Genomic DNA, 19261 nt, shown 5'->3' with positions numbered 1-19261 from the left:
ATTCTAATTCTATTAATTAGAATTCTATTTCTAATTCTATTTCTGCTTCCTAATCAAGGGCACAATACAATTGTCCACTTCTCGAATCCCTCCTCCTCCTGGTATCTGGTTCTCTTGGCCCTCCACGTTCTCTGTTAAAATGAGTTCTCAAAGGCCTCAGCCTAGAGTTAAGAGAAGAAGCTCGCTGAGGCGGGGCCTCTGGGTGCCCACTTCAGCCTCCCCAGTCATTTAGGACAATTTCCTAAGTCGAAGCTAGAGATGCGTGATGCGTTTGGTGACTTTTCCTGGGTTCTTGCTTAAGCGGAGCCACAGGTTGTGGGGGCGGCCAGGCCTCTGGGGAAGAGCAGGTGCCGCGGTGCCGGCGCGCCAGCAGCCCGCGGCCAAGGCCACCTGCTCCCAGGGCCCCGGCACCTCTGCGGGGAGGCGGCAGGCAGAGGACGCGCGCGCAGTCGCGCAGGAGCCCTCAGGCGAGTGGGGGAAGCATCGCAAGAGACGCGGACCTGGAGCGCGGTCACTGCGTTACCGCAGCGACCTGGGTTACCTAAGCCGGCGGGACTGAGAGGCCGCTGCGCGTGGGCAGGGGCTCAGATTGCGCCCGCGGTGCCTGTCCCGGCCCCCACCCCGGAACGATTGCAGCCCTGCGGGGCTCGCCGCCCACACCGCGCTGAGGACGCTGCCCAAGCCAGGCGCCCGCCCCCGCCCGCGGTCTCAGCCGCTCGCAGCGCGCCGCCCCCAGACGCGCGTGGCTGCTGGCGAGGGCTGAGACCGCGCTCCCGCCGGCCAGTTCCCAGCAGCAGCGCATCCTCCCTGCTCCGCGCCTTCGCTCCGGACCCGCGTCGTCGCAGCCCCGCGGTGATGAGCCCCGAGCCGGTCCCGCCGCCGCCGCCGCCCCAGTGTCCTGGCTGCGACCGCGCGGAGCCGATCGCCCAGCGCTTAGAGGAGGGCGACGAGGCCTTCCGCGCGGGCGACTACGAGATGGCAGCCGAGCTCTTTCGCTCCATGCTAGCCGGGCTGGCGCAGCCGGACCGCGGCCTGTGCCTGAGGCTGGGGGACGCGCTGGCCCGCGCCGGCCGCCTCCCCGAAGCCCTGGGCGCGTTCCGCGGCGCCGCGCGGCTCGGGGCGCTGCGGCCGGAGGAGCTGGAAGAGCTGGCGGGCGGCCTGGTGCGCGCCGTGGGCCTGCGCGACCGGCCGCTGTCCGCGGAGAACCCGGGCGGCGAGCCCGAGGCGCCCGGCGAGGGAGGGCCGGCCCCGGAGCCCCGCGCGCCCCGCGACCTGCTCGGCTGCCCGCGCTGCCGGCGGCTGCTGCATAAGCCGGTGACGCTGCCCTGCGGGCTCACAGTCTGCAAGCGCTGCGTGGAGCCAGGGCCCGCGCGGCCGCAGGTGCGGCGCGTGAACGTGGTGCTGAGCGGCCTGCTGGAGAAGTGCTTCCCGGCCGAGTGCCGGCTGCGCAGGCTGGCAGGCCAGGCGCGGAGCCTGCAGCGCCAGCAGCAGCCGGAGGCCGCGCTGCTCAGGTGCGACCAGGCCCTGGAGCTGGGTGAGTCGGCTGCGGGGCGGGTCCGCCTCCCCTACACCTGTCCGGCCCAGCAGCGGGGTGGGGAGCTGGCCGGTGGGCCCGAGGCTTTGGGCTTTCGAGAGCTTTGTCTAGGCTTAGGGGTCACTTTGCTTCCTAAGGATGGGAAGGTGAAAGGTGGGGGCGGCCACACCCTGCAGCCAGGAGAGGCCAAGTGCACCCCACTGGTTTTGTCTTTTCCAGGATGCTGGTAAGTTTCCCGCGGCCCCCGGAGCAGCTCTGTAAGGTCCTGTAATTGCTTTTCGGCATCTTCTGCGCTGTTGAGGAGCGGGGAGGATGACGAAATATTTTTGCTCATCCTGAAGGAAAATGCACATAGCTGACACACTACAGGCGCAGAAAGGGGTGCCTTGTGCTGGGGCAAGATTTGCTTTGGGTTTCAGCTAATATAGCCAGGAAGGAACCGCCTCCACTCTGCTGTAATCACGTCAAACGCTCCGGCTCTAGCCTGCTCTCTGTCTCAGAGGCCATCATTAGATGTCATGGCGTATTTAACTTACTAGATAGTTACACTGACTAGTGTGTGTAGTTTTAAATTGTTCATTCAGTCATTTCCTTATTTATCTGAGGCCTAAGGCCAGCAACAGGCACTCTCCTGCCTTCACCCAGCCACCACCTGTTAACACTATTTAGCTGAAAGGAAGACCAAACTTCTGTCATCGTTTTGGCTTTGACATATGAGTATGCGCTCTATTGGCAGTTGTTTTGGGCAGTGTGAGGAGGACGGTTTGCTTTCTGGTTTCACCGGTTTTATAATAGGGCATATACGATTTAAAGCACTAGCCGAGAAGACTTGTTGAATCTCTTGTTACTAAAATAATCTACTACCATGCTGTAGTCAGTGCACATTTTATTTTAAACTTAGGATTAAGGTTTTCCCTTTTAGAAGGCACAAATTATAAAGTGACTAGCATTCAATTTTGTCTTGCAAAAAAAAAGATCCAAATATTGAACAAGTGTTCAATATCTGTATCTAAATTGGGATATTCTCTGCTGGAATAGAGCACTTAACTCAGCTTTTCTAACGAGTATTCTGTAGTTTTTGCAACCAACATATCCATACTTTAACAGGCATATTTTTTAGTTTTCTACTAATTTAGGTATTGATGGTGTTAGAGCAGCACTATCCAATTAGAACTATTGTGTAAGCCACACATAATTTGGGATTTTCTTGTAGCTACATTAAAAGGGTGAAAAAAGCAGGTGAAATTTATTTTAGCAATTTTTAACCCTATACATCCAAAATATTATTTCAACATGCCTTCAATTTTAAAAAATAATTGAGATTTTACTTTTTTAAACTAAGCCTTTGAAATTCGTTATATATTTTGCATTTACTGCACTACCCAATTCCAACATCAAATTTTCATCAGAAATACTTCATCTGTATTTAGATGTTGGAGAAGATGTAGAAAAATGAAAACTGTGATATTTATATGCTGCTAATGGGACTGCAAATTATGCCCCTGAAAAATATTTGGTAGTATCTACAGATGTTAAGCCTGTCCTTGGCCAAATAGTTTCAAAGAGGTATATGCATATGTGCCCCCAAAAGAATGTGCAATTAGATACAAGAGTGTATGTCATTGTTAGAGATACCCCAAAAGTGCACACAACCCAAATGTCCAGTAAGAGCAGAAGGGGTGAATATATGATTATGTTTTCATAGCATACTATACAGAAAGAAAATAAATCAACTACAGTTACAAACTACAATGTGGACAAATCTCACAAACATAATGTTAAGTGGAAGAAGCCAGACTCAAGCATTTTTACTATATGATCCTATTTATCTGTAAGCCCAAACAGACAAAATTACTGTAGGATGTTAGAAGTAAGGACAATGGTTACCTTGGGGGGATGAAAAGGGAATAGTGATTGTGAGGAAGTATGAGAGGGATCTGTGGGGTAGTGGTGATGTTCTGTTTCATGATTTAGGGGATGGATACACAAGTGTGTTCACTTTGCAATAGTTCATTGCACTATATACTTATATTTTTAGCTTTTCTGTATATATATTAGACCTAATTTAAACGTTTTTAAAATAGGCTATTTCAGTAAATTCATATGAGAACTTATATAGAATGTATTCATTTTTCTATTCAAAGATTAGCTTAAAATTTTATGAAAACATTTAATTTCAAAATAAATTAGCCCTTTTAAAGAGGTTTTGATATAGTTAAAAAAAAAGTTCACAGATGTTTGGAATCAGAAATACCTGTGTTTAGATCCAAGCTCTGACTTTTTTTTTTTTTTTTAAGACGGAGTCTTGCTCTGTCACCAGGCTGAAGTGTAGTGGCGTGGCTCTACAACCTCCGACTCCCTGGTTCAAGCAATTCTCCTGCCTCAGCCTCCCAAGTAGCTGGGATTACAGGCACGCACTACCATGCCCAGCTAATTTTTGTATTTTTAGTAGAGACAGGGTTTCACCATGTTGGCCAGGATGGTCTCAATCTCCTGACCTTGTGATCCGCCCGCCTCAGCCTCCCAAAGTGCTGGGATATCAGGTGTAAGCCACCATGCCTGGCCTTTTCTTTTTTTTTTTTTGAGACAAGGTCTCGCTCTGTCACCCAGGCTGGACTGCAGTGACATGATATCGGTCACTGCAACCTCTGCCTCCTGGGTTCAAGGGTGATTCTCGTGCCTCAGCCTCTCAGGTAACTGGGATTACAGGCATGCACCACCATGCCTCGTATTTTTTTTGTGTGTGTGTTTAGTAGAGACGTGTTTCACTATGTTGTCCGGGCTGATCTCCAACTCCTGTAGTCAAGTGATCTGCCCGCCTCAGCCTCCCAAAGTGCTGGGATTATAGACATGAGCCACCACACCTGATGTCTGATGCTTATTTATTATGTGACCTTAGCGAAGTGTGGTAGTCATTAGTGCTGGTCTATCTCTATACCTTCCCCAGGCAAGGTAGGATTGCACTTCCCGCTCCACTTGTGATTAGGTGGAGCCATGTGACTACTTTTGGCCGATAAGTTATGAGTGGAATTTAAAATAACTAGTACGTATGTTGAAAGAGGTAAATAAATGTATGAAAATATAAAGCATTCAGAAGACAATTGTCCATAAAAAAGAACCAAGTGGGTATCCTGGAAATTCAAAATACAATGTCTGAAGTTGAGAATTAGATTTGTTACAAACCAGATGGCACACATCAGAAATCTGAATGAGAAAACTCAGAAGCAAGTTAACAGAAAATATCCAAACTGAATCACAGAAGAAGACTAAAAGAGAGCATGGGAGTTATGTGAGACACAGACAAAAGTTCCAACATCGATGAAATTGGAATCCTGGAAGAAGAGAGAGGGGAAGGGCAAGAGAAATATTTAAAGAAAAAAGTAATTGAGAATTTTCCAAATCTGATGAGAAACTTTAAATCACTGAATCAAAAAGTTCACTAAGCCCAACAGGGTGGACACAAGTGCACACACAAACATACACACAAAACCCATCCAAGTACATTATAGTCAAGTTCCTGAAAATCAAAGATAAAGAGAATTTAAATGCATTTAGAGAAGACAGGACATATTTCCTTCGAAGGAATCATAGAAGACTGACAGTTGACTTTTAGACAAAATTATTGAAGCTAGAAGCTAATGGAATAATGTCTTTAAAGTGCTGAAAGAAAAAAAAAACCTAGCTGGAATTCTTTACCTGAAAATATTTTTCACAAAATCAAGGTGCTTTAAACCAAAGAAATAACTCAAGCTAAAGGATTTTATTACCATCAGAATTGCATTTCATGATATACTGAGGGAAAGTCTTCAGGCTAAAGGAAACGTATCCATATGGAAGCGTGAAACTAATGCACAGAGTAAAGAGTGCTAGAAGGTGTAACAATATGAGACAATATTGACTATTTCAAATAACAATAATAATGTCTTGTGGTATTTGTAACATACATAAAAGTGAAAGATATGGCAACAGGACAAAGCCAGAATGGGTAAATACAGTTAAATTGTTGTATGGTTTGTACACTGTTTTGGAGGTAGTAACAGTACCAATTTAAAGTAGACTGCTAAATCAGGTTTGCATATTCTGTTGTCTTGGGTAACCACCAATAGGAAGGTAAAATTAAAAAAAAGCTATAGTGGAATAGTAAAGTAATACTGGATTAATCCAAAAGAAAATGGGAGGGAAGAATAGAGAAGGAGAGAATAAGTGGGACAACTAGAAAAGAAATAGAAAAATGGGGATTTAATTTACATTAAATGTGAAGACCTAAATTTCCCATTTAAAAACTAAATGTTGGCAGATTGGATTAAGTGAAGTATAGCTACATGCTGTTTACACACGAGGTAAACTTTAGGTGTAAGAACACAAAAAAAGGTTAAAATTAGTAGGATGGCAACAAAGACTGACAAACAAAAGCCTGATATGGCAAAGTGACTATCAGATAAAGTATTCTTTAAGGCAAGGAATATCAGAAGAAATAAAGACATTTATGATGAATGGGCCAGTTCAACAGAAAAAAAATGTGTAATAATATGCCTAAATTTTTATGCACCTAACAACAAGTGTACACACACACATATGGAGAGAACAAAAGGAGACAAAAGCAAAAGGGGAAATAATTGGAGATGTTGAACAAAACTTTTAGTAACTGATAAAGTAAGGATTGCAAAATAAGTAAGGATATAGATACAACATACTTCAGCACTTAGATTTAATTAATATGTGTCACTACATACAACTACTGCAAAAACATAGCCATTTAGGCTCCCATGACCATAGGCAGAGCGTTGGAGTTGGCCTGTGGTTGTGTTTGCCAACTCCTGGATTAGGCCATGAAAGAAGTCGTAATAAATATTAAAAGATTGAAACCAGACTGTATATGTTCTTTAAACACTGTGGACTTAAACTAAAATTAAATAGCACATAAATAGAATATCTTCAGATATTTTGAAATTAAGCAATATATTTTTATATAATGATGGGTAAAATGAATCACAACATAAAGTAGAAAATTTTCTAATTATCTAATAATTATTAGAATTATTAGAATTTCTAATAATTATTAGAAAATTTTCTTTCTTTTTTTTTTTTTTTTTTTTGAGATGGAGTCTCGCTCTGTTGCCCAGGCTGGAGTGCAGTGGCACGATCTCAGCACGCTGCAAGCTCTGCCTCCCAGGTTCACATCATTCTCCTGCCTCAGCCTCCCCAGTAGCTGGGACTACAGGCACCTGCCACAACGCCTGGCTAATTTTTTGTATTTTTAGTAGAGACAGGGTTTCACTGTGTTAGCCAGGATGCTCTCGATCTCTGACCTCGTGATCTGCCCGCCTCTGCCTCCCAAAGTGCTGGGATTACAGGTGTGAGCCACCGCACCCGGCCAGAAAATTTTCTATTTTGCCTGAATGATAATGAAAATACAGATATCAAACACTGTGGGATGCAATGCAACAGTGCTTAGAGGGAAACTTACTGTTTTAAATGCCCATACTACCAAAGAACAGCTGATAGTCAGTGATCTTTAGGCTTCCATTTCAAGATGCTAGGAAAAGAAAAGCAAATAGAATCCAAAGAGAGTACAAAGAAGGAAATAAAGGAGCCAAAATCAGTAACAAGACAGGAAAAATACAGCCCAATGTTTCTTACGAATATAGTTGCAAAAATCCTAAATAAAATATTAGCAAACTGAATCCATTGATACCCTTAAAGAATATCACATCAGTAGCAAGCAGGTTAAGTTTTGTTTAATCCTGGAAAATCAAGCAATGTAATTCACCATCTTTACAGAAAAAAGAAAAATGATATGATGCATCTCTCAGGAAACTACGAATAAAAAGGAACTTTCTTAATTTTTTAAAAGTCTACAAAAATGAGATAGCAGCTATCATAATTAATGATGAAATAATGTTTTCCCATTGAATGAGAAGGTAACACTGTTTTATTCTCACTGCCACTCAGCATTTCACTGGAGATTCTAGATAGCTATGTATTAAGATTGGAAAAATAAAAGATAAAACAAAAAACTGTCATTATTTGTAGATGACCTGGCATACATAGAAACTCCAGAAGAATGTAGGAACTATTAGAAATTATAAATGATTTATCCAGATTGCTGACTACAAGGTCAATATAGAGGTTATCAAACATAACTATATACTTAGAAAAAACAAATAGGAAAAAAACTTTAAACAATTTATGTAAACAAATTCCTTGGAATAAATCCTGAAATAGCTGAAAGATGTTTAATACCTCTACACTGAAAATTTCATTTCAATACACTGAAAACATGAAACATTTCTGAGAGAAATTAAAGCAGACTTAAATGGATGGATATATCATTTTTTTTCATGGATTGCAAAACTCAGTATTGGCAAGACGTCAGTTCTCTGCTGATTGAATGGTAAATTCAGTGCAATCTCAGAGAAAATCCTAGCCAGTGTTTTTGGTGGAAATTGATGAATGGCCAAGGCAACAGTGAAGAAAAACAACAAAGCTGGAGGATTTACACTGGCAGATTCCAATACTTACTATAATGCTGCAGTAATTAGGACAGCATTGTATTGGCTTAAAAATAGACACATTGAAACTGACTCTCACATATACAGTCTCTTGATTTTCTGAAAGATGCTAATGGAATTCAATGGGGAAAAATTCAATGGGGAAAAAAGAGTCAGTTGCTTTTTTATATGGAAAAAAATAAACCTGAATACCTATCTCACATCATATAACAAAATTACAATTAAGTATCTAGGAGTCATAGGAGACTGTTTTCAAGGACTTGGGGTAGGCAGTTGTTTCTTAAATAAGACACAAAAAGCATAACAATAAAACTTCTGTTCCTCAGAGGCCCCCAAAAAAGTGAGAAGGGGATGAGTATACAAATATCTTACTGAGACCTCTAATGCAGAATAAATAATGCCTATGATTCAAAAAGAAAAAGCCAATCTGTCTAAACACAGTAAGTACTCACTTAACACCATTGATAGAAACAACTTTAGCTGAAACTACGTAATAGGCAAAGAGTTAAAAACTAGATCTCAAAGTGAGCAATTAACATCTAAAAGACTGCACAACATAATTAGTGCTCAAATGCAAATTAAAATGAAAGTAAGTTAGTACATCCCCACCAGAGTAGCTGAAATGAAAAGAACTGGCAATACTTAGTTTTTATTTGCAGCAATTGGAACTCTTAAATTACTGATGGAAGCATAAGTTTGTACAACAACTTAAGAAATGTGTTTGTTAGCACCTGCTAGAGCTAAACTCGTACAACCTCTGATGTGGCATTTCTACTTTTGAGTATATACTAGATAAAAATGAATGCTTATGTCCATCAAAATATGTGTACAGGAATGTTCATTGCAGCTTTATTTATATATGCCAGAAACATTTGGGGAACAGTTCAATTGTTCATCACTAGTAGAATGAGTAAATAAATCAAGTCATACAGTGTAATATTACACAGCAATTTTTAAATTTTTTAAAATATTAATTTAAAAATATTACTGAGACATATAACAATAAGAATGAATCTCACAGAATGATAATTTAGTGAGAAGTCAGATACAAAAAAGTACATTCCATTTATAAATATCCATTTATAGAAGTTAGAAAACAGGATAAAGTAATCCAAAGTGACAGAGGTGAGAATGGTGGTTACCTTTAGGAGGGGCACACTGAGTGGGATAGTGCACAAGGGAACCTTCTTAGGCCCTGGGAATGAACTACATGATGATGGCACGGGTACACATGCAAAGGTTGAGATATACACCTAAGATTTGTGGACTTGACTCTGTAATTACAGTCTTCCATCAATTTGAATAAATAGGCTTTGAGGAGTATTGCCACTTATTCTTTCTTTTCATAGAGAACACTACCCAGTTTTTATTGCTTTATGTGTCCATTTGTTTGTTTATTTATTTATTTGAAACTGGGTCTCACTCTGTCACCCAGACTAGAGTGCAGTGGGACAGTCTTGGCTCACTGCAACCTCCACCTCCCAGGTTCAAGCAATTCTCATGCCTCAGCCTCCCAAGTAGCTGGAATTACAGGCATGTTCCACCACACCTGACTAATTTTTTTACTTTTAGTAGAGATGGGGTCTCGCCATATTGGCCAGGCTGGTCTCAAACTTCTGACCTCAAGTGATCCGCCCACCTCGGCCTCCCAAAGTGTTGGGATTACAGGCGTGAGCCACCACGCCTGGCTCATTTAACTTGTGTAAAATAACATGTAATCCTCCATTTCTCACCACTGCACACATTTGATAGATTTTATAGCAGTAACCCTAGCTCCTAGTACAACAGTGGCTCTGGGTTGCTGTTGGAAAACAGCCTTTGGTCGACCCTAAACACAGTTGTGGTAGACATCTCTTCTTTTCCTCTCAAAGCCTGGGTCTTAGGCTGCCCTCTTATGACTTTTCCCCATAGAGGGGTTAATTGGTGAACCTACTGAAATGTTGCATCAATTCTTTGGAAAGTACATATGTACATTTTTCTTCCATATGTTTTCTCTACACAAAGACTTTTAATAATTTGCACTTCCTCTTCCACTTAGTTTTGAGGGATCCTTGGAGAACTCCTTTAGTTTTGTTGAGCCTAAGGTTTAATCCTTAGAAAATGTGTAAGCATTTATTTTATGTGTTTTAAAAGACTAAATTGTGAAGTGCTGTCCTCACAAATGTATCACCAAATGGTGGACGTCAACAAAGAAAACAGTGATTCATTCAGTGTCGAGATGAGAAGTGATTGTTTCTTGGCCTTTTGGCTAAGATCAAGTGTAGATGGGAAGTGAATTTTATGAAATTTGGAGTTCAGTTAAAGCACCCTTTAGAATGTGAGGAGTAGAGACTTAAATGTATTCATTAGAAAAGAATGATTAAAAATAAATGTAAATGAAATGTATTTTTAACACTAGAAACTTTATCAGGATTAATTAAGCTAACACAAAGATAGTATAAGCAAAGGAATAATGAACAAGATATTAGTAAAACAGAAAAAAATTGAGTTAGTTAACAGGTGAGAAACTGATTCATTGCCAAGGCCATTAAGGGACAAATATTTGATAAATGTGTTCAAGAAAAAGCAAGGCATAAATACCATAAGGAATAAAGAAGCATCATTGCGGATATAAAAGGATATTTATAAAAGATTTTAAAACTTATATAAAAAGGACAATTTTAAGGAAAATACAAATTATCAATATTTATCCATGAAGAAGTAAAAGCCTTCAAAAAAATTGAGATGCTCCTCAGGGATTCTCTTCTGCTGAAAAGGCGCTAAGGTCAAGAAAGTCCTTACAGCTTTCAGTGACTAATTTCCATCTTATTTCAGATCATAGAAAAATGTGGGAAGATTTTCATCTCATTTAATAAGGTTAGTATAATCTTGACACCACAATCAGGTAAAGCTTGCACAAGAAAAAAAAATGTGTAGGCTAGTCTTACATATGTATATAGATGTCAAAATCCTAATTAAATTTCTTAGTATTTTGAGTCCAGCAGTGTAATAGGAGTTAAGACCAAGAAGAGCTTATACTAGGACCATAAGGATAATTCGGTACTAGACAAATCTTTCAGAGTAATTCACCATATCAGGTTGAAGGAGATAACTATATGTAATCTCTCAGATGCTGAAAGCAGTCTATAAAATTCAACACCTACTTGTTATAAAGTCCTTACAGAAAACTAGGAATGGGAGAGAAATCACCTAACTTGATAAATATTTTCTCTCAGAAACTTACAACAAACATATTTTATGTTAAAACATTAGACACATGCTTTTTAAATTCAAGAATAAGAGAAAATGCTGTCACTATTATTGCAATATGAGAGCATGAGGAAATAGGAGTATAAATACTAGAATGAAAAGGAGTGAATTGCACATGACATTCTTGTTTAAAATATTCAAGAGAATCCATTGGCAGATTGGACTAATAAGAAACTGTAGCCAAGTGGAAACAGGATATGAGATCTCCATTCTCACACAGGTTTGCAGCAGGCATAACCCAAGCCTAAAAAACTATACTTCCAGGAGCACATTTTTTTTTTCCAAAATTTTTTTTTCCAAATCTCCTTTGGAAGATGTGGAAAAAAATCAGCATTATAGTAAGTATTACATTTTTTTCCCCAAATCTCCTTTGGATTTTTGGAAATCTCCAAAGGAGAATTGTATATTTCAAAATGCATTTAACTGTGTGATTGAGGCATTTTCACCAATCTTTTAGTTGGAAATAATCTAATAACATGCTAAAAAGGCAGATACCGTGAGGAGAATCTAATAGAATTCTATAATGTCTTCCCAGCAATTAAAATGCTCAATTTAAAATCATATGAATTGATGCCAGCACTTTCACAGTTACTATGTGCATTTTCAAAGATGAAATACATAAAATCTCATGTTAGATCATAATTAACAGATGAATATTTTCAGTTGTTTTGATGATAGGAAACACTAACTTGGAAACTTAAGAAAAATGTTATTCCCCAAACAAGAATTCCATTCTTCTCATTAGTTTATCTGTATTACAAAAAAGTACTTAAATTATTGTTACCATATTTTAAATTGCGTCAATAAGAAATCTGTCAAAATTTGTTTTCCTTCTTGTTAAGCAAGTATCTATATGATATCCTTCAGTTTGCCTCTTTGCCTGCAAAGCCTAAAATAGTTACTATCTGGCCTGTTACAGAAAAAAAGTTTCTGCCACCTGCTCTAGCCAGTTATCCATACCCAGCAATGTCTCTCTTAATAATTAAAATTGTATTGTTTAACTCTTGCTGTTTCTTTCCCCTTCTACTTTTTTCTTGTTATACTTTCTCTATATTACACATATGTGGTGATGACACATTTATAAGTAGTTACTTTTCACCATGTCTTGATGTAATATCTTTGTGTGTAAGTTCTTCGGTGTATGCTTGCTCAGTTACCTACATAAACTAAAAGGAGGCTAGTGGCATTTGGAAAGCACCAAGTGGGTAGTTTGAAAAGAATCAAGGTCAAGGTTTTGGAGGAAACTGAAAACGTACATTAGGTAGAGGGATGAGAACACATCTTAGGAGCTCAGAAAATTTGTGGTTGAACTAAAATGCATAGCTGTAGCCCTCCTACAAGGATCGTAGGTGGGCAAAGGTAGAGTGAGCCAGGCCCCACAGTATGGAAAATGGCTGTGATGGTTCTGCCTTTCTGAGGTCTGGCTTCCAGCCTTTTCCATGGGACCCTGCCAAGTCAATACTTCGTAGACTGCAAGTCAGTTCAAAGAGAGGCCAGTCTTGGCTTCTGTGTAGCTGGACTTAAGTCTGTGGCAGCATGTGAGTTGTTATCAGGACCTCTGCTGTTGAGGAATGCAGAGAAAGGAGTTTTTTTTTCCTTTCCCTCCTTAAGAGAATATACTGTAGGTACAATTATGGGGACAAATCAACATCTACCAAGTTGTGTAGAAAAACAAATTATGGGCCAGGCATGGTGGCTCACACCTGTAATCCCAGCACTTTGGGAGGCCGAGGTGGGTGGATCACCTGAGGTCGGGAGTTTGACACCAGCCTGGCCAACATGGTGAAACCCCATCTCTACTAAAGATACAAAAATTAGCCGGGCGTGGTGGCACATACCTGTAATCCCAGCTACTGGGGAGGCTGAGGCAGGAGAATTGCTTGAACCCAGGAGGCAGAGGTTGCAGTGAGCCAAGATCATGCCATTGCACTTCAGCCTGGGTGACAGAGCGAGACTCGATGTCTGAAAAAAAAAGAAAAAAAATTATGTTTTACTTTTCTGTTTCTTAAACATGAATTTCCTTGCATACTTTCATAAAAATTATTTTAAATCTCTTCTAAAAATACCTAGTTATAGCAGTGAGAGGATTCAGCAGTTGCTGAATTTATTATTGGAGATGATGTAGCTCGTGTGTGTGTAGGAATACTCAGTGGCAGTCTGTTTTTCTTGGTGCTTTTTCAAGTCTTGTTAATCTTCTTCCTGTTTTCCTGAGAGGAGCTGTCTAAAATATACTTATCAAATAACTAAACTCTAAATATGATTGGAGGGAGGAATTCTTTCTTATTTTGTTTTTATACTTATTTTGTATTGTATTGTATTTATACTTTATACATATGTATATATACACTTTAATATATGTAATGACATTAAGATTACTTGTTTTTAAATGCAGTCATTTTTATTGATTTGTATTCCTCCTGTCTTTCAGCTCCTGATGATAATTCATTATTGCTGCTGCGGGCGGAGTTATATTTGACCATGAAGAACTATGAGCAAGCTCTCCAAGATGCCAGTGCAGCTTGTCAGAATGAACCTCTCTTGATTAAGGTATTTGTATTTGTTAGCTTTGGAGATAATCAATGTGAAGTTTATATGATTTTCTTAAAAACAAAAGTAAGATTATTGTGATCAGGTACCTATAGACAAAGTATGTTTCCCTCACATTACTGTAGCCTACGTTTAGCAATCCACCTCACACTAAAGCAACCTAATTTAAAAGACTAAATCTCCAACTGATTTAGCTGAGAAACACTAATTTCTATTACACTTAATAGATATTTAGCTGAATAATATGCTCTCTACATTGAAAAAATATATAAATAAAATCATCAAATTTTATAAAGTTGTAAGTGAAGAAAAAATATTTAAAATTATAATGTAAATAGGAAGATCACATAATGATCATGATTAGCTGTTGGGTCCTAATATGCATATGAACAAATCAATGCTATTGGTGAAAGAGTTAACATTTTGTGTACATTTTACACTAATTTTAGTCTCTGTGTTTTGTTTGGAAAGGTTTACTATTTCTCTCATGACAAAAAACGAACTTTGCGGATCTAATAATGATAACTTAAGTTGTACTTAAAGAAGTTTAAGAAGCCAAAGAATAAAAGCCTTTTCATGAATCTTTGAATTTTAAAGTTTTAAAGAACTTGAAATTAACAGCTATAGCATGCTCTTTTAGTCAGTTAATAATTAAAAATATTTGCTATATTACTTTATATCAACTTTGTTTTATAAACATTAAAGAGACATTAAGCCAGGTTAGTAGACAAGCACTGGGAAGCCTGCCCTTTTTCCCTCCCATCTTTTATTTTTTTATTTTATTTTTTGAGACGGAGTGTCTCTCTGTCCCCTAGGCTAGGCAATTCTCCTGCCTCAGCCTCCCGCATAGCTGGGACTACAGGTGCGTGCTACCACACCCAGCTAATTTTTTGTATTTTTTAGTAGAGACAGGGTTTCACTGTGTTAGCCAGGATGGTCTCGATCTCCTGACCTCATGATCTGCCTGCCTCAGCCTCCCAAAGTGCTGGGATTACAGGCGTGAGCCACCACGCCCGGCCTCCCTCCCATCTTTTAAAACAAATGCTTTGAGGTTAGCCTGAGTGTCAAGTTCAACTTAGGGATAAGCCCAAGGATGGAAGCAGATGTTTGTTGGACTAAGCTCAGAAATCTATTTTGTTGCTTGTTTGCTTCCCTAAAAAAAAAGTTTAGACTCCAATTTCAAATGCCCTTTCTCCTATGCCTTCATCCATTCTTCTTTAAAATTATGTTTTTAATTGACAAGCAAAAATTTATATAATTTATCAGGTGCAATATGTAGATTTGAAACATGTATACAATGAGAAATGGCAAAATCAAGTTAATTAACATATGCATTACCTCACATACCATTTTTGTGGTAAGAACACTTAAAATCTATTCTCCTAGCAGTTTTCAAGAATACAGTACATTGTTATTAACTGTAGTCAACATATGGTATCATAATAGATCTCTTGAACTTATTTCTCCTGTTCAGCTGAAATTCTGTATCTTTTGGCTGACGTCGCCCCAATTCCTCTCCCCTGCCACTCTTCTTCTGAGCTAATTTCTATCAGTAATGATCAAGCCTTAGTTATTATGAATTATAACTATTATTTCTGACTGACAGCAGCTCTGCATTGCCCTCTGAAGCTAGATTCCTCTCCGTAGTATTCTTTGAGCTAAAAACTTGACAGTGTGACTCTCACAAAAGATAGACTTAATTTCTACAGAGGTACGTGGCTAATTATAACTTGTCAAGGGAGGCAGCAAATGAATATTTAGTGTTTGAGATGGTATGAGACGGTGGTCATATCTGCAGGGTTTACTGCAAATCTGTGGACCTCAATTCTTGACAGATGCCCAGTGAAGAGCAGCTTCAGCCAAAACGTAGTTTAATAAGTAAGTTTAGGCCGGGCGCGGTGGCTCACGCCTGTAATCCCAGCACTTTCGGAGGCCGAGACGGGCGGATCACGAGGTCAGGAGATCGAGACCATCCAGGCTAACACGGTGACACCCCGTGTCTACTAAAAATACAAAAAATTAGCTGGGCATGGTGGCGGGCGCCTGTAGTCCCAGCTACTCGGGAGGCGGAGGCAGGAGAATGGCGTCAACCCGGGAGGCGGAGGTTGCAGTGAGCCGAGATAGCACCACTGCACTCCAGCCTGGGCAACAGAGCGAGACTCCACCTCAAAAAAAAAAAAAGAGCGAGACTCCACCTCAAAAAAAAAAAAAAGTAAGTTTAAGATAGTAAAAGATATATTCTAAGTTTGTTATTATAACTAAGGATTGGGGAAGAAGTGCCATTGGAAGGTAAGGTAAGGGGATGGGAAGTAAGTTCACTGAGGGGAAGACTAAGGTGGCTGAGTGTGATCAAGCTGAGATGGAAGCTGTTTTAGAACCAAGCACTTTGAGAAGCACTTCTAGATTCTGGGGGGAGGTGGGTTACAGCAGTGTGTCTCACTCAAGCAAAACTGCCCTTTCAAGCATCCAGGCATGGCTAATATTCATCATGGCTAATGATTCAAAGCTTTTGGAGCAACTGGAGATAATCCATTGCCAGCAAAATATTTGCCCATTTGCAGAAATAGATATAGGCACATGATTAGTTTGATCTTACCCAAACAGCGAACTTATAAGACTTAAAATTACTTAAAAGCCAGTTAATTCAGTTAATAAATATTTACTGATACACTGTGGTATAAAAAATGCAAATCTCAATTGAGATTCTGTGCACATGTATGAAAAACTTGAAACTTTACGTGAAGTTCTTTGTGCGTATAAGACAGTATTATTTTCTCAGAACTTTTGATAATCGAAGCAAATTTAGACACTACTGAAACATGAAAGTTGGGGACTTTTATAAGGCCTGAAAGGGGCCCTAGCAACTTTGTATTCTTAATTTTGTACTTTTCCTGACCAGGTGTGGTGGCTCACACCTGTAATCCCAGCACTTTGGGAGGCTGAGGCAGAAGGATCACTTGAGGTCAGGAGTTCAAGACCAGCCTGGCCAACATGGTGAAACCCCGCCTCTACTAAAAATACACACACACACAAAAAATAGCCAAGAAAAAATTAGCCAGGTGTGGTGGTGCACAGCTATAATCCCAGCTACTCCGGAGGCTGAGGCAGGAGAATCACTTGAACCTGGGAGGTGGAGGTTGCAGTGAGCCGAGATGGCACCACTTCACTCCAGCCTGGGCGACAGAGCGAGACTCCATCTCAAAAAATAATAATAATAACAATTTTGTACTTTTCCTTAAACAGACTTTCCAAATTATGTAAGATTCAGGCTCCACAAAAGCTGAATCTTTTGTGATTCTGCTTTTGTGAAAGGAGAATAAGAAAATTAGTAAAACTTCACATTTATTATCAATGTAAAGTCCCATAGATGAATCACTGATTGTCTGAAGTGTATTTGAGACTTCAGGGAGCTCAGGGATGAAACTGATGATTTGTTGTCTAAAGTACTCATCATGTCTTTTGAAATGGCTGCTCTTCCAGAGGGCTGCAAGGTAAGCAATGTGTGAATAGACAGTTAGCAAGCATGAGGAGAGATGTTGGTGCTGGAGATGGAACCTGGGCACCATCAGCACAGTCATGGTATTTCAAACAATGGAGAGAGAAGTGCAGTAAGACAGGACCTGAAAATAGACCTTCACATTTACCCATCAGTGGCTGCCAATGTTCTGGAGAATTTTTATACAGAAATAATTAAAATGACATTAACAGGGGTAGTGGTTTACTTCTGGTAATAGTGAAGGAGTGAAGTCGTCATGTGAATCCAGAGGGGAAAACAGTTATAAGAACTGTATTAAAAAAAATAAAGACACTATAAAACATCCAAAAACAGAAGCTGGAGGAGAGTTTCTAAAAAAACCTGCACATGAAAAGGAAAAGAATTGTGTGTGGGTTTTTTGTTTGTTTGTTTTTTGTTTTGTCTTTTTGGTCCCTGAGTTCTGTCTATCTCCACAGCTGCAGCTGCACAAAAACAGTACTGGGACAAACACTCAGGATCACTACGTGAAAGTACCAGGAGTTCAGAGTTCCGAGTTCTAACAGAAGAGCTGGAAATTAGGGGAATCCCTAAAAGCAGAGAAATCCCGGAGTGGATGATTCCCAGCTCTGGCCAAATCCTGGCTTATTTCCAAATTTCATAGGCATCAGGGAGAACCACAAGGCTTAAAAAGGAGCCATGGAGGCTGGGTGCAGTGGCTCACGCCTATAATCCCAGCACTTGGTGAGGCCAAGGCAGGTGGATCACAAGGTCAGGAGTTTGAGACTAGCCTGGCCAATATGGTGAAACCCCATCTCAACTAAAAAAAAAAAAAAAAAAAAAATTAGCCAGGCATGGTGGCAGGCGCCTGTAGTCCCAGCTACTCAGGAGGCTGAGGCAGGAGAATCACTTGAACCTGGGAGGCAGGGGTTCCAATGAGCCATGATTGTACCACTGCACGCCAGCCTGGACGAGCGAGCAAGACTCTGTCTCAAAAAAAAAAAAAAAACAGTCAACTAAAATTGTCTCTGAGTGGGCCCAGATATTATATTTTCCACAAAGAGACTTTGAAGAAGTTATTATGCATAAGTTCAAAGAGTTAAATTGCATGCAAAGAATTGAAGGACAATATGGTACCTTTGACTTAAGAGCAATCTCAACAGGGAGATGGAAACTATAAAAAATGGAAATTCTGGCTGGGTTCATGGTTCATGCATGTATGCCCAATGCTTTGGGAGGCTGAGGCAGGAGGATCACTTGAGGCCAGGAGTTCAAGACCAGCCTGGGAAACATCACGAGACCCCAAGTCTACAAAAAAATTAGCCAGGCAGGGTGGCATGTGCCTGTAGTCTGAGCTACTCTGGAGGCTGAGGCAGATTGTTTGAACCCAGGAGTTAAGGGTCACAGTGAGATGTGATCATGCCATTGCGTTCTAGCCTGGGCAACAGGGTGAGACCCTGTCTCTAAAAAAGAAAAAAAAAGGAAATTCTAGAGATAAAAATTATCAATGCTGAAATTTAAAATTTCTAGGTAGGGTTAATAACACATTATACATGGCAAAATAATCAGTGAAATTGAAGATAGATCTATAGGAAGAGAAATTATTCAATGCAAAAAACAGAAAGAAAAAAGATTAAAGAAAAACAAAAAGAATCTTGGAAACTTGTGGGACAATATGAAGTGGTACAACGTATGTGCAATTGGAATCTCAGAAGAAGACAGAAAATGTTTGGCAAGAAAAAAAAAGAAGAAATAATGGGTAAAAAGTTTCCAAATTTAGTGGGAAACATTAATTTCAGATCCAAGAAGGTTAACTCAACTTATAAGCAATGATAAACTCAAGTCATAATCAAATGGCTAGGCTGTAAACCAAAGATAAAAGGAAAGTCTTGAAAGCAGTAAAGAAAAATGACATGGAATGAGAATGAGAAAAATGACATACAGGGA

The 19261-nt window shown here is 40.1% G+C and overlaps 1 protein-coding gene across 4 annotated transcripts in view; it reads left to right on the top strand.

Moving 5' to 3' along the window:
* The first annotated feature begins 447 nt into the window (after positions 1-447).
* LONRF2 (LON peptidase N-terminal domain and ring finger 2) overlaps positions 448-19261 on the top strand; it is a 50627-nt gene continuing 31813 nt past the window's right edge. For 2 of the 4 annotated variants that reach the window (NM_198461.4, XM_047443538.1), the window contains exons 1-2: positions 448-1534; positions 13724-13842. In NM_198461.4, coding sequence (NP_940863.3) covers positions 856-1534; positions 13724-13842 — 798 coding nt within the window. In that variant the 5' untranslated portion in view covers positions 448-855. Of the gene's footprint in view, positions 1535-1567; positions 1761-10860; positions 10903-13723; positions 13843-19261 lie in introns of those variants that run through there. The other 2 variants (NM_001371783.1, XM_047443537.1) reach the window with 2 other exon arrangements.

This window comes from Homo sapiens, chromosome 2 (assembly GCF_000001405.40).
Source record: "Homo sapiens chromosome 2, GRCh38.p14 Primary Assembly".
NCBI classification, from domain to species: Eukaryota; Metazoa; Chordata; class Mammalia; order Primates; family Hominidae; genus Homo; species Homo sapiens.
This window is presented reverse-complemented; position numbering and strand designations above follow the sequence as displayed.